General features: G+C 36.6%; 1 long non-coding RNA gene across 6 annotated transcripts in view, besides 2 other annotated features; it reads right to left on the bottom strand.

Annotated features, from left to right (window-relative positions):
* Positions 2,980–3,632: an enhancer, noted in NCBI's record as "OCT4-NANOG hESC enhancer chr3:181474397-181475049 (GRCh37/hg19 assembly coordinates)". NCBI's record gives its function as "activates a minimal SCP1, AML or CMV promoter by ChIP-STARR-seq in naive H9 embryonic stem cells {active_cell/tissue: H9 hESC(naive)}" and the evidence as "EXISTENCE:reporter gene assay evidence [ECO:0000049][PMID:30033119]".
* Positions 3,761–4,452: an enhancer, noted in NCBI's record as "OCT4-NANOG-H3K4me1 hESC enhancer chr3:181473577-181474268 (GRCh37/hg19 assembly coordinates)". NCBI's record gives its function as "activates a minimal SCP1, AML or CMV promoter by ChIP-STARR-seq in naive H9 embryonic stem cells {active_cell/tissue: H9 hESC(naive)}" and the evidence as "EXISTENCE:reporter gene assay evidence [ECO:0000049][PMID:30033119]".
* The window catches only part of SOX2-OT (SOX2 overlapping transcript), a 685,549-nt gene continuing 680,942 nt past the window's right edge, over positions 18,013–22,619 (bottom strand). For all 6 annotated transcript variants that reach the window (NR_075091.1, NR_075092.1, NR_075093.1 and 3 more), the window contains one exon: positions 18,013–20,672. This is a non-coding gene — a long non-coding RNA (SOX2 overlapping transcript). The remainder of the gene's footprint in view (positions 20,673–22,619) is intronic.

Genomic DNA, 22,619 nt, shown 5'->3' with positions numbered 1-22,619 from the left:
GAGTAGCTGGGACTACAGGCGCTCACCACCACGTCCGGCTCATTTTTGTATTTTTAGTAGAGACAGGGTTTCACCATGTTAGCCAGGCTGGTCTCAAACTCCTGACCTTGTGATCCGCCCGCCTCGGCCTCCCAAAGTGCTGGAATTACGGGCGTGAGCTACCGTACCTGGCCTATTTCAGAAAAGTTTTTAACCCTCAGGAGCATAACAAGCCCAGAAGAAAAATGATATTAGGGATATTATCTCTTGAAAGTCTTTCACAGTTTCATGAATTATTGAATCATTTCTTGGATGGGCACCCAGTGTGCCTTACAGGGGAACTTTGTAAGCATAACTGGCAACACAAATGGTATCATTCCTACTTGCAACTCTTTCTGAGTGTTTTGTGCTTGGCCATCACATTGCACCTTCCAGTGCTTTATTTCCAACTCAGACCTCTTTAACAAGATAGCTTTTATAATGCCTGGGGATGAGAACAAGAGTGGAACTGCTTCATTCTTTTAACCTATACCTTCCAACTACAAAATGTAGTGCTCTCTGTGAACTTCCTATAAAATTAAGGAGAGCTTATGAAAGGGCTCATGACCCATAAAGAGCTTAATGCATTTTTAATGTACAATTCTGGTAACAGTGTCAGCTTATAGATTTCCAAATGACGGTCACAATTGTGATTTAGAACAGATGGTCAAACCACAGAACAGAGTCAACAATATTTTCTCCCATCCCAAGAGGCTAACAGAATCCAAGGGAAGTATCTGACATCACCTAAATTGGTAAACAGCTCAAAACAATCTTAATTAACAGTTTGCTGGAACACTTAATGACAGAAAGCATGCCTCGGTAGAAACTGGTATTCATAGGCTGCTCTCAAATTATTAACCAGTTAAGAAGATGGTTTAATGCCCTGGAAAACAAAATAGTCAAAATTAGGAATTAGAAAATCTTGCTTTTGTTTAACTCTGACACTGGGTGAACTTGGGTAGTAATTTGAAATCTCTGAATCTATTTCCTGCTCTCCAAAATGATGTCTAAGTTACCTTTTTTTTTTTTTTTTTTTTTTTGAGACTTGAGTTTTGCTCTTGTTGCCCAGGCTGGAGTGCAATGGCGCCATCTCGGCTTACCGCAACCTCCACCTCCCAGGTTCAAGCAATTCTCCTGCCTCAGTCTCCTGAGTAGCTGGGGTTACAGCATGCACCACTACGGCCAGCTACTTTTGTATTTTTAGTAGAGACAGGGTTTCTTCATATTAGTCAGGCTGGTCTCGAACTCCCTACCTCAGGTGATCTGCCTGCCTCGGCCTCCCAAAGTGCTGGGATTACAGGCGTGAGCCACCACGCCCAGCCAGTTACCTTTAGCTTAAGTGTATACTGAATGCAATGGGATGGGGGTCAGGGGGCTTAATTATAAATGACCAAACATTTTGGATTATGAGGAAATAAAAATCATCTTTCAATATATATCAAGAGATTCAGCTGGTGAAAGTTAACGACTATCATGTATTTTGTTACCAGAGTTAATATGGCAGGTGATTTTTTTTTTTTTAACTAGAAATATTAGTGCTTACAACACAGCAAATCATAGTGGCTCTGGGTAGGAAGGCTTTCTTAAATCAACAGAAACATGCAACATTGTGAGTTCAAAAATGTTGAACTATTTTTTACGTGGCCATCTTTGGTCCTTAGTGTTGTCAGTCTTCTGGAATAGACTTGGAAAAGAATGGGCAATGTTTTAATCATTGCTTATCATCTAGTATAAGCAACTCCAGTAAGAAAAGGCTCCATAACTGAGCCTCATAAAGCAAGCTAAAATGCGATCACAAAAGTTTCAGCCTGAACTAACCCAGGTTAGGTCTAGATGCCAACAGGCACATTTATTCTGTATTTTTTTTTTTTTTTTTGATCTTCTGTATGTTTCTTTGATAGAATTTATTTAAGGACTATGTTCATTTTTTCGAGAAAAGTTTTATAGTATGTGTGTATTTTTTGGAGGTGCTGGAAGAAGACAGGGGAGAGTTTGAAGAGGAGGAGACAGTATTAAGCTTCTGGGAAGGAAGCCCACTGCTTCTCAAGTTACCATTTGTAAACCCTTTACCCAGTTCTGTTTGGGCTATTGTCCTGAGTAAATCATCCATTGAAAATCAAGCTCTTCAGCTCATTATATATTCTTCATTTGAGGTGACCAGAACTATTTCCTGAAACCTGGTTTGGGTGCTAATTACCTGCTCAAACACCTAGTAAATACCTCTGTGGATTTGTCATAGGAAAATTTCACTTTTTTATTTTCCTTAAATTGAGCACATTTATCACAAGTTCCCTTTCACCTTCCTAGTCGTGACAATAAACGCCTTCTAAGTAGAGGAGCCCTTGCTCCTCTGGTCACTGGGAAGTGATTCTTATTCCTCCTCAGCTACCCTAAGTCATAGCTTACAGGCTCAGCTGTAGAGAAAAGTTTACCAAAGTAAGCCACATATTTCTATAGAGAAGTAAGTTGCTTTTTCTTCCTCCAGGTCTCTTTCTCTCTCTCTCTATCTTTTCCTCTTTCCCCAGTGAGGCAGGAACGTATTTTTACAAATACCCTAAGAAACTTATACAAAAAAGAACTTACACTTACAGATATTTCTGTCCCTTCAGATTTTAAAATAAATATTTCTGTTAGCCATCCTTCTATCCTAACTTCCCAAAGGAAAATCTCAAAGTCATAGCATATGATTTGTCACAGTAATAAGATGATATTTCTATCAATTTTGAAAAGAATTATTTTACTGGGGAAAAATGTTTATGCATATGTGTGTGTGTGTGTATAGTTGGTTCAAACACAAGTTACGTTGCCTTTTCTTTCCTTCCCACACCTAAATAAATTTAAGTTCAAAGGAATGAATGTAGGTGTCATCTTTAAGAAAAATAATCATATAAAACTAAAACAAAACCAAGACAAAAATGTAAAACAAAACCACTAATAGAAGCCATATTTCAATCTTGTATCCCTGGGAAATAACTGTAAGACTGGAAATTCATCTATTTCATTCTATGTCTATTGCAACCTGACTAGGCAAGAATTTTTCCCCCTTTCCTTAAGAAAGCTGAAGGTGAAGACTGTCTCTATGTGGCACTGTGGTATAAGTGACCGCTGTTGTGGAGGAGAAAAGCCCATGAAGCTTAAAAATTTTGCAAAGAGAAAACAATCCTCCTGCAGACCACAGTAAATAAAATAACAGCAGTGGGGTGATTTGCAACCATGTAACGGGGCTTTTGTCTGGGTCTATTTCTCTGTGCCTTGAGGGTTTCTGTGTTCCTTCTCTGCAGGATCTCAGTGTTTCGCCCCTCCATTACAAAGGCCCAGGGCTTGAGCCCCTCCTCCAGCTGTTCACCCCCAATCTTGCCCATGCTGAGGCTTACTTACAGCAGACTGAAGAGTTTCAGTGGGGTGCAGGGCACTGCAATTTAGGATTTCTGCAGTACAGGGTGAATTTTCAAGAGTGTATCAGAGAGGGGAGCCAGACTTAAAAATAGCCTTTACTCATCCTATTAACCATTTCATTGCTGAACTGGCTTGTAAGGCAGGACCAGCAGGTTTTTTTCCTCTAGCAAACTCCAAAATTGCTACAGCTGCCTCTGACAGTATATATAAGGCAACACTTCACTGTGTCTTGGATAACAGCTGAATAAATGTTATGATTCACTACAGAAAGAACTACGGTATTTAAAAAATTATTGTATTCTTCTTTACGTGGGGTTTGAGGGTGGAAATGAGGGAAGGGATTAGAGAAGCAGGGGGAGAGGGAGAGTGAAAGAGAGAAGGAAGAGAGAAATCTTGGTGAATAGAGAAGTAAGGAAGCCTCTTGTTCTGGTTCGTATTGATCTTATTTAAGCATGGGGAGAACTGATGAGTCTGTGATTATTTTAATGACCATGAAACCTATGCATTCAAAGAAATAAATGAAGCTATGTAATCACCTTCTAAGTAATATCAAAGAACTATGGAAAGGAGTTGGGGGAGGGCCATCATTGCATAATAACATTTACATCATACAGGGCTCCGCAGGCAAAGGTAAACTAGGGTTGAAGTACTGTATTTCCAGGGAGACAAGAGCCTACAATTCAATACTCTGTGGCTGTGACCTATCTAACGCAAGGAAGGGTAAGGCATTGAGCAGTAATTGTTTCTATTTTGGTATTTCGGCAAGGGAAACACTGATGTTTGAGGTTTCTGAGTGGTTTATAAAGCAAGCAAAACTTTGGAAGTGCAACAACACAGACTATATAAACAGTGGGCAAATAGAGTCAGATGCTGTCTTTCAATAGGCTTTAATTTTTAAATGATAATGAAAACATACTTGTTTCAGTCAAAAGACAAACTTCTGATTATCTTAAAAAATGTGGCATTGTTTTAAAGTGACATTGTAAAATAATGTGATTGCTTGCCTAAAGGGAGGTATTAAGAAATATGAGACACTGACACTACCCTCAAGACTAGCAAGAAAGACAGGACAGGTGCACATAAAAAGATGACTAGTGCTATTATGTTGTTTAATATGAACTCTAATCAGTTGATTACAAACATTTGTGATTTTAAGGAACTTTCATGTTTAACAGGCTATGCATACAGCTAAGAGGAAAGAGCCTCAACTCTGGAATCTGACAGAGGTGGTTTCCAATTCTAGTTCTTCCACTTGTTGGTTATGTAATGCAATAAAAATTGCTTTAAAATTGCTTAATGTTTCTGGGTCTCAGTTTTCTTCTCTGTAAAATGGGATCCCATCACCTGCCTCCTCAGGTAGCTGTGAGGATTAGAGAAAATAATAAATGGAAACCACCTGGGTGTGTTTGGGCATATAATCATAATAGTTGTCATCACTAATCCCGTTACTCTAAATAGGCAACAGAAATTCTTAAAATATGAACCACAGAAAAATAAAGCCTAATTTAAAATTTTAAGCCCTTCAAACCTTAAGGCTCCTGATCATGAGTGTGTTATTATTAAAACGCTGCTACAAATAGGTTTGCCGGAAAAGGAACAGGACATTCAATTAAATTTGAATTTCAGATGAAAAACAAGTACTTTTTAGTATATGGCCCATGCACTATTATATGAAAAAAATTGTTTGCTCTTTACCTGAAATTCCATAACCGGACATCTTGCTTTTTATTTGTTAAATCTGGCAACTTAAGTATAAATAGTAAAGACCTGAGTGTATTTAATTCCTGTCTTCTTTAGCCCAAGTCCCTATTGAGTGAGGTAACAGGAAAGGAATCCTTATTTCAGAAAGTGAAAAAAAAAAAAAAGAAATTAATATCATTAAAACTTTTTACATATCCAGAACATAATTTGTCAATATAAGAGATAAAAACAACTGCCATTTTCCATGTGACAGTTTAAAAAGTGACTTTTGGTTGTTTTATCATCTCTCACCCAAACTCCAGCCACGTGCTGTCTGTAGGTTCATTTGGCCGGTTCTGAATCTGACTACTACCAGGTCTTGAAATGAGTTTTGTTTTGTTTTGCCTTTCCTTTCTCCAGTGCAGAGCTCCACAGAAAACATTATTAAAAAGAGAGACCTGTGGAGCTGATTGTATACTGACAAATAAGACACCCAAATTGAGATACTTTATCAAAAAGAAAGGTTCTTTCTAGCAAAGAGGTTTTATGTAGGTAAGGGAATATGTCTGCTCAGAAAATGTTTAGGTCAATGGAATAAATGTAAAATGATATTACAAACATGTGTATGACATTTGCATTTGTTTAACACTTGATATTCCTTTGTTATTTTGTGTTTTCCAGATAGGGTGACAGAGTGAAGGCCTTATCACTTCAATATTGAATGTAGAAATTACAGTATAATAAAATTCAGAAAATTTCATCAACATAAAGTTAATACTTTGTACCATGAGCTTTGAGCTTTTAATCCATGAGTGGCTACTTATGTGCAGAGGATGTTAATAAGTATTTCTGACTTAACTTTATCAACAAAAGAGAGCATACTAAAGTTTGCTTTCACACATATTTACTTGGCTTTGTAGTAACATGGTTCATAATTGACATGCTTACATATAAATTCATAAATGCTATTAACTGATAAGAAATAAAAAGACTTCAGAATAAAATGAGAATTTTATTTTAGTCTTTAAAAATGGCAAAAGTTTAAAAGTTGAAATTTTTGCCTCTATTCTATTAAGTTCCTTTATTCATCACTGACATAGATGTATTCTCTTCATTTTTACATTTTTCTGATACCCCAATATTTATTTAAATGCTACAAATATCTTTATTTCTAAGTAAATTGTAAAGACTGGTTTTGAAAACTTTTTTTATATGTTATACTATCAAAGTTCTTATTTCATCTTAACTTAGAGCTTAAAACAATGTAATCCCACCAAAATCATGAAAGCAAACAAAAATCAGAACATTAGAACAACACATTTTCCTTTTTGAAGGGCAGAGAAAAATCATGGGTAATTCAGGCCAGTTGATTTCTAGAGAACTCCAGCTATGAGAATGACTTTGTTGGGAGCGGCCACCCAACAGTCCTGGCCATTACATGTCAATCTGTCAAACCAACAAACAAAAACACCACAGGCTTTAGCACAAATGGCATATGACAGATGCAGATGTGGCTCTGAAAAGAATCCTCTGCTTTTGAAACACCTGCAAGAATTCCAAAACAACGGGCATGCCTTCCACTCTGCCATAGCCACTTTCCTGACCCTGAGTTCGGAGTGGTAAAGGAAAAATGCCTAGCATGTACAGTATTCCACTCCAATTGGGAGAGCAGTGGGGGGCTGATGAGGAGCAAGTACAGTGTTGATATCACAATGCCATGCACCTGCTTTGGATGTAAAAAGAAGGAGTTTATTACAGAAACTGCAGCATTTTTCAGCTTCTCATTAAGCAGTCGTGGGCAAATTCAAGTGTGTTTTCTTTTTATTAGGTTAAACCATCCTGAATTAAAAGGGCCTATTGAGAGGTGTTTTTTCTTTTCTTTCTTTTTTTTTTTCCTGTCCCTCCCTTTCCCAACAGGTATATTGTTTTCCTTTCAAAATTAAATTGCTTCCCACATTTTGGTTTAGGGAGATGAGCAATATGCAGTACTGTTGCAAAGTAGTGTTTCCTAGATAATAGCCAAAAAGTAAAATTTATTTTCCACTTTAACAGACATCTTTTAATTTTAAAAAGGCAAGCATCCCCCAAATACCTTTCTATTCTATGACTATTTTTATGTCTGAAAAATATATTACCAAAGAGACATAATTCATTCCTAGGGAATAGTCCCACTGTGTGCATTTTAGCTGATACCTTTTGAAGGATCATCCTCATACGACCAGTACTATTAAACAATAACTAACATAATTTTTTAAGATGATTAGTTGGTAGAGGAAAGTGCCCCTGTAACCCAGCAATTTTGGTTGTCAGGGTCAGTTGTTTGATAGTATTTTTCACCTCTTCCTTAATAACATTGTTATACTATATATACATACTTACAAAATAGCATTTCTTGGGTTAGCAGTCAAACTGTGAATATAGATAGGACACTACTATGTTATCAGAAAGAATGTTAGAGAGAGCAGGCTGCCCAGTAGCAAATTACAAAGTTTTGGCTCCCAAGAATGAGATGCGTTGTTTGTTCTTGCACACTGCAGCTGCCTCCCCACCCCGCCCCCCCTTTTTTGGTGGTTTATTACACACAAGCTACTAATGAATGGGAGCCGCTGTTTTACAGTACACCACACTTACAGGACTTATCTCTAGGCCTACCACAGATTTGACTGATCAACAGCAGGGCACCGCCATCATAATTCTTCCTAGAAACAGGAGTATAAAAAGGGGTTTGTTGGAGGTTGGCTGGGTCTGCAGAGAATCCTGCCCGCAGGGCTTGCTGATGCCATCACTAGCTGTTATGGTCTTTGGCCTAATAAGGTACAGAAACAAAGATTGTTCACTTATTCAAGAAGACTAAAGCACCAGAATGATGGAAAGTAGAGGCAGTAGGGCACATATCCAAGTGGGATTAAGGCCACAGTGCAACTTTATAGGGCTGTCTGGGTGGCAGAATAAGGATCTGCAGCTGAGAATCCAGTTCAAACATAATTTATTATATGTCATTCATAGTTAGAGGTAGCTGACATTAGGAGTTAAATTGTTGCATTGTGTGCAACTGATTTTGATAAGTATTTTTGTAAGCTTCTGACATATTATTATAATTCAGAAACAGAAGCAGAAGGTAAACAACAGACTGATTAAAAAAGCAGTGATATCTAAGGAATATCTCTAGAAAAAGCCATGGTGGTTCTTTTTTTTTTTTTTTTTTTTTTTTTCTGTCCTCTGCTTTAAAGTTATAATATGTCCTTCACATTTCTAAACGTTAGCATTTTTCTCATTGCAGTAAAATAGAACAACTTGCATCTTCTAGGCTTTTTCAAACTTTCAGATAAACATCAACAAAATAAATTCACCTTTTTTCCCAACAAAGCAAACACACAATCCTGTTTTATACAAGAAGAAAGGTTAACTTGGAGAAGTCATTTGCCTCAGTCCTAAAGTCATTGAATAATCTAGCAGAAAACAAATTTCTGAAGTTCAGCCTTCTAGTCGTTTCATTATACTTTCCCAGTCAATAATGGTAGAGTAGCAAGACCAGCAATAAAAAAATAATAATAATAAGGGATTTAAGAAAAATGATTTCCTCTGTTTTTGGATTCCAAATACTGCTAGAATTAGAAATATAAATTATTAAAAGAGTATTCTCACAATGAGCCCTGTGCATTTTGAAGTAGTTATACAGTAGTCATTGTCCAGAGAAAGGAGTATAGTTGGCTGAAACCATATCATATTATAAATGGACTATATGTTCTTAGAGCACAACATTTTATTTATCCTGATTTCAAACCATTTAAGCGTTTAAAATTGGTGTCTTAATTTAATTTTTAAATTTTTTTTTAAACTTTTACTTTAGGTTTGGGGGACCATGTGAAGGTTTGTTACATAGGTTACATAGGTAAACTCATGTCATGGGAGTTTGTTGTACGGATTATTTCATCACCCAGGAATTAAGTAAGCCCAGTATCTTTTCTGCTTCTCTCCTTCCTCTCACCCTCCCCATCAAGTAGACACCAGTGTCTGTTGTTTCTTTCTTTGTGTTCGTAAGTTCTCAACATTTAGCTCCCACTTATAAGTGAGAACATGCAGTGTTTGGTTTTCTGTTCCTGTGTTAGTTTGCTGAAGATAGTGGCCTCCAGCTCCATCCATGTTCCTGCAAAAGACATGATCTCGTTCTTTTCTGTGGTTGCATGGTATCTTAATTTTATGATTATCTTTAGCACTTAGGACATTGCCAGGCTTACTACTTTATTCCTTCTTTTATTATGTTCCTTTATATCTCTTCACTCATGCCTGCTTTGGCAGCACATTAACTTGTAGTTGCCTGGTGCTTATTTCAGAAAGCAGAAGAATGTCTTGTTGTGACATAAGGACCACAGTATTTGTGAAACTATTCTACATCAAATGGGAAAATTTGAGGTGAGACAGCATGGAACTGTGTTAAACTGGTTCTCTTCTGAAATCTCTAGGAGTTAAAATTTTTTTTTTTCTTCCCTTAGCCTGAAGATGTATTTTCATATCCTTGGCCTGTAAGGCGGGGAGTGGGGAAATACATGTTTAAGATGCAGTGCTTATTTGTAACTCTTTAAGGGGAGTCTGGGAGCATATGGCACATAAGAATCTCTTACTTACTGGCTATATGACCTTAGGCAATTTAGTAAACCTCTGTGAGCCTCATTTTGATCATTTTTAAGATATGTATAGGATATAATATATCCCTTTCTGCATCCCTTATTTTATATTCCAAGACAAAATAAGATATTAGCAATTGCTTTAAAGTGGAAGCACCTGGAAACAACCTACATGACCATCAACAGGAGAAAGGTTAAATAAATTCTCATTCAACCCTACTGTGGGATGTTACATAGCAGTTACGAAAACGAAAATCGATCTATTGATGTATTCCCTCTGACGTATTGTGAAATGATAAAATACATACAGTAAAATCTCATTGCCTAAAAGAAAACCCTGAGTATACATGTATATTCACAATAATAAGAGTAGTTGGCTGGGCGTGGTGTCTCACGCCTGTAATACCAGCACTTTGGGAGGCTGAGGTGGGTGGATCACCTGAGGCCAGGAGTTCAAGACCAGCCTGACCAACATGGAGAAACCCCGTCTCTACCAAAAATACAAAATTAGCTGGGCTTGGTGGCGCATGCCTGTAATCCCAGCTACTCGGGAGGCTGAGAAAGGAGAATTGCTTGAAACTGGGAGGCATTGCAGTGAGCTGAGATCCCGCCATTGCACTCCAGCGTGGGCAACAAGACCGAAGCTCTGTCTCAAAAAAAAAAGTCATTAACCCCTATAAAATGCTTACTGTGTGACAAGCACTGCTCTAAGTAGCTCACATATAAACTTAGCTAATCTTTACAATAACCTAATGAGATACTATAGGTTGAGGATAGCTTACCTGAAATGCCTGAGAGCGGAAGTGTTCTGACTTTAAGACCTTTTCGGATTTTGAAATATTTGCATATACATAATGAGATATCTTGTGGATGGGGCCCATGTCTGAAACATGAAATTTATTTACTTATACACGTAGGCTGAAGGTAACTTTTTACAATATTTTAAATAATTTTGTGCATGAAACAAAGTTTTGACTGTGACACATCACAAGATCAGGTATGAAACGTTTCACTTGTGGTGTCACGTGGGTGCTCAAAAAGTTTCAAATTTTGGAGTATTTAGGATTTTGGAGTTTCGGATTAGGGATATGTCCTGTGTGCTGTTGTCATTCTCACTTTTATAGATGAGAAAACTGAGGTCATACATGTAGAAGTATTAATGGTAGAGCTGGGACGCAAACCTTGACAGTCTAGATTAAAAGTCTGTGCTCTTAACTACTATCTGTCTATCATCTTTCTATCTTTCCTTTCATAATATTCATCTTTCTATCTGAAATCTGGAAGGATATACACTTCTGGGAAGGGCACTTTCACTTTTGATTCTACATATCATTTTCACTTCTGTTCGTATACACTTTTGTATTGTTCGAAGTGCTTTAGTTAAGTTTAGAGTTATGGTACTGCAGATATCTGATATACAGCTGTAGTAATTATAAAGAAAAAGCTTTAGAAACAAGTGGTCCTTAAGTGGGTACCGAAGGCAATGTCAATAACTTCTTTTGCGTAGAGTCTTTTGTTGTTGTTGTTGTTGAGACGGAGTCTTGCTCTGTCGCCCAGGCTGGAGTGCGGTGGCGCGATCTCTGCTCACTGCAAGCTCCGCCTCCTGGGTTCACGCCATTCTCCTGCCTCAGCCTCCGAAGTAGCTGGAACTACGGGTGCCCGCCACCACGCCCAGCTAATTTTTTGTGTTTTTTAGTAGAGACAGGGTTTCACTGTGTTAGCCAGGATGGTCTCGATCTCCTGACCTCGTGATCTGCCCGCCTCAGCCTCCCAAAGTGCTGGGATTACAGGCGTGAGCCGCCGCGCCCGGCCAGGTAGAGTCTTATTGGATGCATATTGTTGTATCTTTGACGGCAAGAGGTATGACACCTTTGACACCTTTTTCTTTTAATTGCAACACCTATTTCTTTCAACAGAACCCACCCCATATGAGTGCTCAAAAGTTTTGTTTACCGCCTGAAAGAAGCCTATAAGTAAAAGACTTCTGTTAGGGCAGAGCTATAGTTTGAGGATACATAGCAGAGCAAAGTTAAATTGAAATTGAATATACGATTCCAAACAACTAGCCAGTGCTTTTCCCAACTTGATTAACCAGCCACAGATAAAAACAAGTGTTTCTAGATGGGCACAGTGGCTTATACCTGTAATCCCAGCACTTTGGGAGGCTGAGGTGGGAGGATTGCTTGAGCCTGAAAGTTCAAGACCAGCCTAGGTGACAGAGTGAGACTCCATCTCTATTAAAAAAAAAAAAAAAAAAAAAAAAAAGCTTTGCATGGTGGCACACGTCTGCAGTCCCAGCTACTCAGGAGGCTGATGTGGAGGATCTTTTGAGCCCTGGAGTATGAGGCTGCAGTGAGCTGTGATCATGCCACTACACGTCAGCCTGAGTGGCAGAGTGAGACCTCATCTCAAAAAAATAAAATCAAATAAAAATAAGTGTTTATTTTACTCTCCCAAACCTTTGGGTTCATCCCCATCATTTGCCTCAAATTTTATTCTAATTTGATGTTCAATGTATTTCAACTGATTTTCCCTATAAAATATTACTTAGGCCTGGATTTCCAAGCTTTAGGCCTAGGATTTAGTTTCCACTTGATTTAAGATTTCATATTAAGAAGAGTGGCATTTGTAACAATCATCCTTGTTCTGGGGTCTTGTGCTTTTACATCACCAGAAACTTTTGTATTAGTTTACTATTTTGATTATTACAGGATGACTCTGATGTTGCTAGAATGTATTTAGTGTGTCTTTATTTCCTGCTTCTCTGCTTCTTTGCCTTTTACTATCTTTTTATCAAAGATTCTGAGGTTCTTTGTATAATTGGCTGATACTTCCTGATCGCAAGATATCTCTGTGGGCTTTAAACATATTTAAATGTATTTCTAAACTTTTCATTCACTTGCATAAGTATTAATGTAGGGCTTCTGAAGGAAAGGCAGAGTTAAAATTTTTTTTTCTTCACTTAGACTGAAGATTTATTTCCATATCCTTGGCCTGTAAGGGGGGAAGTAGGGAAGTACATGTTTAAGATGCAGTGCTTATTTGTAACTCTTTAAGGGGGCTCTGGCAACATATGGCACATAAGAAGTGACTCATGCAATATCTTTGAAAAAGAGTGATTGCTTTTTCATAAGAGTCTTCATTTTAATATGTTTAAAATGTTAAACATACTGCAAATGTTATTTCACAAATAAGAGAATATATATCCAGAAGAGGATATGGAGGCACACAGAGGCAGCCAGATCTAGGAACAAAATACTAGATTTCTAAAACTTGCTTCTCTTCACTGAATTTTAACTCTTTAAATGTTTTTATCAGTAGTAAAATGTTTTCATGGCACTTATGATGATAGTATTTCCTTAGTGAATAAAGCTATAGGATAACCTATTAAAGTAGATAATATTCAGACCCATCTTATATTGCCCTAGAAACTTTATTTTAAATCCATTAAATAATTCTCTTTTTTTGTTTTTGAGACAGAATCTCACTCTGTCGCCCAGGCTGGAGTGCAGTGGCGCCATCTTGACTCACTGCAAGCTCCGCCTCCCAGGTTCACACCATTCTCATGCCTCAGCCTCCCGAGTAGCTGGGACTACAGGTGTGTGCCACCACACCCAGCTAATTTTTGTATTTTTAGTAGAGATGGGGTTTCACCATATTGGCCAGGCTGGTCTCGAACTCCTGACCTCAGGTAATCCACCTTGGCCTCCCAAAGTGCTGGGATTACAGGTGTGAGCCACCACGCCCAGCCTCATTAAATAATTTTCTAAGAAATATTCTGCATAATCTCACATTTCTGCCTTTCCCTTCCACCTGGAATAAGGTCCCATAACTGTCTATCACAGCCCTACCCATTCTTCAAGCCCCACTTTCTCCAACTCTCTATAGACCTCTCCGTATTTTTACGGCTGCTTGTTCACACCTTTACCATAGCTCATTCTGAAGAGAAACTTGTACACATGCCAATTTCTCTTTCTTGGAGAGCTGGTACCAAATCTTGAGCTTTTTTTTTTCTGTTTTGTTTTGATTTTAAAATTCCCATCCACACTTCCTCCCAGAACCTAACACATCATTCCATGATGGCAGGCAGTTGGTTTTATTCATCTGTGAACAACTTAGAGAAATGCATCATGCCTATTATAGAGGGCTGTCAATTATGCTTATTCTATGAATGGCAGACACCTGACAATACTCACCAGAAACAGAACAGCTCTAGGTTTTGCTGGTAAATTAAGTCCTATAACCACAAATTGTATTTGTCAGCACTCAGATATACTATAGTCACAATATCAAAAGACAGAGAAAAATCTGGTATAATAAAAACCAATACCCAAGTAGTTGACCAAATGTTTTACTATCCATTGTGATTTTCTTTTTTTCTTTTCTTTTCTTTTTTTTTTTTTTTGAGATGGAGTTTCGCTCTTGTTGCCCAGGCTGGAGTGCAATGGTGCCATCTTGACTCACCACAACCTCCACCTCCCGGGTACAAGTGATTCTCCTGCCTCAGCCTCCCGAGTAGCTGGGATTACAGGCATGAGCCACCACGCCCGGCTAATTTTTGTATTTTTAGTAGAGACGGAGTTTCTCCATGTTGGTCAGGCTGGTCTCGAACTCCTGACCTCAGGTGATCTGCCCACCTCGGCCTTTCAAAGTGCTGGGATTACAGGCGTGAGCCACCACGCCTGACCCTGCATTATGATTTTCTAAATAGACATGGATACAAACTTTTACTTTTAGAAGAATACAGAACATTTTTATGCCTTATTGACTTGCTTAAAAACTTTATTAGGAAGAATTCTTACCATTCTAAACAAATCTTATTTTGCCAAAATTTATTCATCTGTCCAGATTGATAACAGCTTTGTGGGGGTTGGGGAAAGGAAGAGAAAAAATGAACATATATTAAATATTTAATACCACAGTATATTGGACAGGGGTGGGAAAAAAGTGAGAAATCTCTGATCTTTATTCAAATTTTTCAATGCTAGCTAGTATTGTGCTTTTATGTACTTATATACAAATTATGTGTAGCAATTTGACAAAATTTCTTGTCAGATTTCTAAAAATGCTCTTTTTCTTTGCAACACAAGAAGCTAACATAACTAACCAATAGTTTAGATGACTTAGAAAGACTACAAAGATAGCAAGAGAGAAACTGCCAGAATCTGTAACATTTTAAAAGTTGATCATTCAGTATTGGATTTTCATTGTCAGAAAAGTCTTGATACCATACTTGAGGGTTTTCTGACTTGATGCAAGTTTAAACTGAAATGTTTCATTGTTCAGCACCTCAGTTTGGCAAAATATATTGCATTAGATAACCCCTTAACCCAAGCTGCCCTGCATTTTAAAACAAAAACACCTAAAAACTAATGAGTAACGTAGGAAAGAAGAAGGGATGAAAAGAGAGGAGAAAGAAAAAAAGGAAGGATAGGGAAGAGGGACAAGAAAGAAAGCAGGAAAAAGAGAAGGGGAAGAGAGAGAAGGAAGGGAACGAAGGGCAGAAGGAAGGAAGGAGGAAGGGAAGAAAACCTGTTTTGAACAGCTGTTAAAGACACACATGACCAAAATGAGTGAGATTGGTAATATAAGAAATTATAAAATTTTGAAGAATATCTAAACAAACATAGCTGTCAATTTAAGAGACCTTATTTTTGCATTTCCTAATTTGCATACAAGTGGAGGAGACACTAGAAGTTTGTATTTGGAGACTTGAACATTAACCTGCACATCAGAATGAAAAATCCTCAGTCTAATGTCATGTTTTTGTAGAAAAACTTCAGTACAAAAAAAGGTTATCATATGTCATTATTGATACCAGAACAGTCGCTTTTCTTTTTCTCTACACTTTTTCATTTTGTCTAATGCTAACAAGCTTAACTAGATTTTTCTGGCTGCTAGAATATTTCAAGGGCAAAAGCATTAATTTAAGTATATATAAAATGACTAATTTAATTTTATATAATTTAAGAAATAAAAAATAAGAATTTCCATATTAACATCTACACTGCCCACATTACATGTTTAAAGCAATATAATTAAAAACCTAAGAATAAAATAATGTCATCTATTTGTATTTCTTGATTTCTGTAATGTTTAGATGGTTTACATTAATGTCAAGTTAATAATCCTTTTATTATTTTTCCTAGAGTATTTTGCAAACCTTTTTATTAAACACAAAAAGTAAAAGCCTAAGAGAACAAAAGTAGTTCTATATGACTTTGACTTTGTTTATCCAGACTTGCTAAGATGTTAAAAGATTTTAAAAGTTTTTTAAAATTGAAGGGAAATCTCGCCTCTAACACTCAAGAGCTTTATCAATGGCATATTCTCAAATAATTACTTAATATGTAGAACCTGCTTCTAAAGTCTTATGCTATATTTTACTTTGAAATATAGAATCTAAGTTTCTTATATACGTGGTTTAAATTCCAGATAGTTATTTAATTTATATAGAGCTTCCCATGTTTAACTTTTGGAAATTAAAACCGTCAGTTCTGAAAGACCATTTAAGCATATATATAGAAAGAAAAATAATAACTGGTAAAATTCACTTTAAAGTAAACAGAATTCTTTTCAGTCATGTCTTTTAAGTTTTTAATTTGTGAGATATAAAATCTTGGCTCTTTAATACAGAATCTTTATCTTCAGGGATATAGAACACAAAAATAATTCAAAAGCCTGTTGCTACAGGTTAATCACTTGAAACAGAAGCTACAAAATCTGAGTTGGTATCTCAATTCTTCCATTTATTAGCTCAATCACAGTGTGCAATCACAGGTAAAATGGGATTGATGAGTTTTGTTTATCTTATAACATTATTCTAAGGATTAAACAAAATTATGATTTAAAAAGTGCTTTGTAAGCTATAGGGCATTAAGCAAATTAAAAATTTTTAAATAAGAATTTTATCTAAGTAAGAAGCTATGATTTATGCAAGATATTCTTATCATTGACTTTTGTATCTAAGCCTAGTACCACTTAGGAATCATCGATTTAACCAACAGGAAGTAGAGTGTCTTTCTGGTCACCTCTCTGACAAATTAACAACCTGGAAAAAAAATGATCTACACTTTGAGCTGTATTAGGGGGAGAGTGTAATCACTAGGACAATTCTTAATACAAAGAGAGTGGAAACGTGATTCTGAAGAGGGGAAATATCAAAGGTACTCTTTATCAAGAGTGAAACTTTGAAATCCATCTATTTAAGATTAATCACTATTCTTTCAGTTAAGCTGTTGTCATCTCTAACTTCCCCTGAGTAGAAAATAATCTACACTTCCAACTAAGTTATTCATGGTCCAATTTGTTCTCAGAATACTATAATAGGCTTTGTGAAGATAAGTTTTATAATAGGGATTTAACATAGTGAGAAGCCAAGACACAGAGGCCTTCAAACACAAAGAGTATATATATATATACTCATATATATATATACTCATATATATATACTCATATATATATATACTCATATATATATACTCATATATATATATACTCATATATATATACTCATATATATATACTCATATATATATACTCATATATATATACTCATATATATATATACTCATATATATATACTCATATATATATATATATATATATATATATATATATATATATATATAAACTGCTCTGTCCTTTCCCCCCTTCTTCTACCCTCCCATTCCCTCTCCCAAAAGGATATTCACCCCTACTTAAAAATCTAATTTTTACGAAGGATTCAGATGAAATGGCATCTCAACAACTTCACAGTACAATTGGTTTAGCCACTGCAGTGTTGCTTTTGAAGCCATTTTCAACAGAGCTGGGAAAAGGGGAGAAGTCTGAGTAAAGCACTGGAAGAAGAAACACTGTGAATGGTTTTAAGGAAGAAAAACATTCATAATCTTTCCTCTTGGCAGTTCTGTCTTCTTGATGGCCACATTTACATACTGAGTTCACAGGCTAGAACTCTCAAAGAGAATTCTACTTTCCTAGAGAAAATCAAACACTCACGGTGGCATCCTGGGGGCGGGGGGGAATGAAAAGGAAATAATCACTGATGATTTATATATATATCATATTTATTTTCCAAGTTTCTGATATCTTAAACTGTTGAAAATACATAAAGTTATTCAGAGACACTTTTTTTTGTTTTATTCCTCTTCAGCTCTATAAGCTGTAACTCTCTATATTTACAATTTTTCTCTCATTTTTATCCAACTGAGTGTATTGGCTTCTTGCTTTACAAAGTAGAAATGTACCTTGAGTGCAACAAGTTTATCTTTATTCCACACTGTTGGGTTTTTTAAAGGTTCTTTATTTTTCCATTTTAAAAACTTCAAAATACACATGTAAAATTTTAGTATTTAAAATATTAGAAACTCCTTACCTGTTAATGTGTTTTAATAACCAGTTTGCCTTTTCTGAACATATTACATTCCTGCTGTACCTATTTTGTAGCAAGTATGCCTATCTTATTTGCATATTTGTAACAAAGTATGCAAAAAGATAAAGATATGTGACCTATTTATATTCAAAACTGACTAGAAAACTCTACAAATCACAGGAATTCTGTAACAGATATGCATTTACAACTTTCTCTAATAAAGATTTTTAAAAATTGTTTTTTAATGTGCTTTTAATGATTGCTAGCCCTCACACCTCCTTACTTGCTTTCCAAACTGTTTATACTGTCCCCAATAACACTCAGTGGAAAGCTGTCATTCCTGGCTAAATCCTTACTTAGGGTGGATGCTATGCCTCCGTGAGACAGGGTCAGGGGGTCAAAATCGATTTTGGAGGCCACCTGGAGAGTCCAGGCCATGAACTGACTCGAAAAATTTATATCAGAGCCAGAATGGTCCACCTCCCAGGGTCAGATCTGGCCTGACACTCCAACCGCAGGCTGGGGCATGCTAGACCGAGCTCAGAGAGAGGCCAGGGTTGTTGACCCTGCTAGCTGACCTCTTCAAACTTCAGGAGAATTTTTTTGGCAGTTACCACGGTGACTGGGTACTCTAAAAGCTTATCCTTCTTACTGAATGGAGGGAAAAAAATTAGGAAAAAAATATGTTAAAACCTACCTTGCAGAGATGCCTATCATGGTTAAAGTTAAAAAAAAAAAAAAAAAAAAAAAAAGGTGGAGAGGGGGGAAGGGAGGTTATGGCCCTAAATTGTCTATGCCTTTGGTATTAATTACTACTGCTTTCCAAAAAAGAAAAAAACAATTATAATGTACAAGTCTTTCAAACTGCAAAACTTGACGTTTGGAGCAGATACTGCTTTTTTTATTTCTTTTTTCTTCTTCTCTTTTTTGGTCAATAGCTGGCAACAATGTGAACAATGCATTAAAGTACTTTTTAAAACAATGCAATTTACTCGGAAATTCTAATATCTCCACTTTTCTTTGAGAATAATCAACTTTGAAATAAGATCCATCATAAATGTTAGCCTATTAGAGAAAAGATGCTGTAAATAATCAGTTTTACCTCAAAATCATGCTCAATATTTTTTTTTTCCTGAAAGAAAATTGCCCAATTTTGCTTGACTTGAAATAATTAAATTAGGAGAAAACCAAGGGTCTATTAGTATATATCTTATCTTTTATGAAATGACTTAATAAAAATAATGTATACGTTAAAAACAACAACCGAAAATACTCTACATATAATAAGAGAACACTAGGAAGAAAAAAATACCACGTGTACTTTATTTTAGAGTAATGAACTTTAAAGCTAAAAAAGCCATAGAATATTCTTCTATGTTAACACCAAATGTTGTCTTGTCCTAAAGTCTCACAACAACAGAAATACTTGCAGATAAAAATTTTAATTCCCCATGGGGTAAACCTATGCACGTTATAAAACTATTAGTTGATTTTTGTTGATAGGTTGTAACACAAAATGCTTTCAAATGGCGCCTATGTGTGGCTTGAAATTAGATGAGAATCATAATAATTTAGAAGTATAATATACTTTAGTCATAATAATACTTGCTCTTAAAAATATCTGAGTACTACACAATGACTTTTTTGTAAAATGAAATCATTGACTTTTATTGTTATTACTCTATATCTCTTACTTCATTTTCTCATCTACTGCTTACATGATCCAGGTCCTAGAAGTCTTGGAAGGACCTCCTCTACCATTTGGGTGCTGGTTCTGTGTATGTCTGTGTGTGTGTGTGTGTGTGTGTGTGTGTGTGTGTGTGTGTGCGCGCACAAAGAATAAAGCATTGGTGAGGGGAGGGTGGATTTGCATTTTAGAAAGGAGTGGCTATATAACAAAACAATGTCTTTGATTCAAATATCATTTTTCATCTTGACTCTAAGCCAAGAAAAAAATGAGAAATTACAGAAATATAGTAATTGACACTTCAAAAGTGAATACTAAAATTTCAGAGGAATGTTTTAACCTAATCTTAAACGTTCATTTTGCTATGACCTATTTTGACTGTTTTGTAATAATCACTAAGTTCCTACAATGGAATGAACATAAAACCAAGTATTAATTAATCTTAATTTTTAAAAACAAGATATAATTCAGGAATCATTTCCTTTCTCCTCTTGTGCTCAAAATAGCCACTGAAAGGCAAGGTCAGAGACATAGTTTGAGATGATCTTGCCAGGCGATCCAATTACACTTTGCTAAAACACAGTTCTTTCAATTAGATAGTGTGGTTCTTGACATTTTGAAGTGGGCAACCAGGTTGGTGAGTCACTTAAACTGTGGTGCCAGCTCATTGTCTATGATGAACTCGAACTGTCCTTCCCAGCCGGGAACTCTTGGCAAGCTTCCTTAAAGACCCAGTGGCTGGCAAAGCATGAGGAACTATCACACAGAAAAGGAGGTCCTCCTTGGGTTTTGAAAACAGACGATAGAAGTCTTAGAATGATGCAAGCCAGGTCACAATCTCCTAAGCCACGAGCCTTATCTTGAATGAAACATTATTTCTAAGTTGGATCTGAAAAGGAAAAAAAGTTAAAGTATAAGGCAATGGTTCATTTGTACAAAAGAAAACAATGCCAAGTCTCTTAGCTTGGTTTCCTCCAGTCCAGTTCAGAATCTCTCCCAGAGAAGACCAAAAATCATTTTTTCAGTCTTTTGCATAAATTTTTACTAAAAGGACTATGAAATAAATAGGTATTTTATTCAGAAATGTATGGATCTGGATCTTCTCTTAGGTTCAAAATTCACAAATGTTACAAAAGTACAGAATGAAGGATCTAAGAGATTATCTATTCTCATGTTTTTACTTTACATATGCAAAATCTGAAGGCCAGAAGCATGAACTGCCTTACATACAAAATACTAGTTAGACGCCTGAACTAGAACCTAGATTCTGGTTGGCATTTCTAACCCAGTATCTTCTCTACTATAATATGTAGCCTTTTCACTAGGGTAGAGAATATTAAAAGCCCATAGTAGTAAACGTATTCAAAGCCTTAGAGACAGAGTCATTCTGGGGCAAGGATATAAAATGATTGCAAATGATTCAAATTTCACTTCCAGGAAACAACTTTAGGTACCACATAAGCAGAAATGTGCTATTGGAAGCTCCAAATTTCTCAGGAACTTATGTCTTATGGTAACAAGGGCGTGTTGTTAATATTATTTCTCCAGATAATTGTTTTTATTGATCTGTTGTGGTTAATAAGCACTGACTAGTTTTTGTAGGTATGGAGTCGCCATTCTGCCAGGTTTGTGATTAAGTAACAAGAAGTGGGGCTTTGGTGTTGGTCTGTCTCTGCTACCAGTATTATGAAAGAGTCTATCCAAATAACCATGAGCTACGCGAGATAGGAGGGCTGCCAGTCCAGGAAGGGCTTGATCTAGTTTTTCTTTAACTTTGCTCTAATTTACTTCAGGTTTAACTTGCATCTGTTAGGATCAACGGATCTTAAAAATGAAGTTAAAAAAAAAGACTGTATAAAAATGTGCAATTAATTGCTGATACCCCAAACTGTGACTTGTCTACTGCATTCAGTTGTAATGGTACTTTTTTTTTTTTTTTTTTTTTAGTCAGAGTGTAGCTCTGTTGCCTAGGCTGGAGTGTAGTGGCATGATCTTGGCTCACTGCAGCCTCTGCTTCCTGGGTTCAAGCGATTCTCCTCCCTCAGCCTCCCAAGTAGCTAGGATTACAGGTGCGTGCCACCATGCCCAACTAATTTTTGTATTTGTAGTAGAGACGAGGTTTCTCCATGTTGGCCAGGCTGGTCTTAAACTCTTGTCCTCGGGTGATCCACCTGCCTCGGCCTCCCAAAGTGCTGGGATTACAGGCATGAGCCACCGCACCCGGCCTTGTAATAGTACTCTCTGTTAGTGTATTTCTAGTGCTGTCTCAAATTTCCCTTTCTAACTTGTCATGGCATTTCAAAAAAAATCATAATTTAATTCTGAAAATTTTCCAGGGGCCTCCAAAGGAGAAAAGGGTAAGGGATGAGAATTTGAGAAGAGAAGGAAAAGTACTAGGTATGCTGAGGGGCCAATCAGTGGCTCTCTAGGGAAGGAGGGGGGTGTTTGAGATAGTTATATGTGATTACGAGGTGAAGGCAAGAGTAGTCAGGTAGTCCTTAACTCCCATCTAGAATTTCAAAGAAATGCTGTTTCCTTTCCATAGATTCAAGAGGGTATTAGTTAAGGGTGGCATGTTTTGGTACTAATCACATGTTAAATTTTGGGAGCAGGGAATGAGAAACTCCTCTGAGGGTGAGTCTGAATAGCATTTGATGGGCAACCTTCACTCAAAATGTGTGGATGAGGCTCAGCTACCTAGGCTGTACATTTACATGTATTTTTCCGTTTCTCAAAATATCTTAGTTGTCTTGCCTTGGCCCAATAGAAGACTTCCCCAACCAAAGGGAAAAGAGGTGTTAAGGAAAGCTTCTTGATAGAAGGGAAATTTCAGATA

Source organism: Homo sapiens, chromosome 3 (genome assembly GCF_000001405.40).
Source record: "Homo sapiens chromosome 3, GRCh38.p14 Primary Assembly".
In the NCBI taxonomy this organism is placed as follows: domain Eukaryota; kingdom Metazoa; phylum Chordata; class Mammalia; order Primates; family Hominidae; genus Homo; species Homo sapiens.
This window is presented reverse-complemented; position numbering and strand designations above follow the sequence as displayed.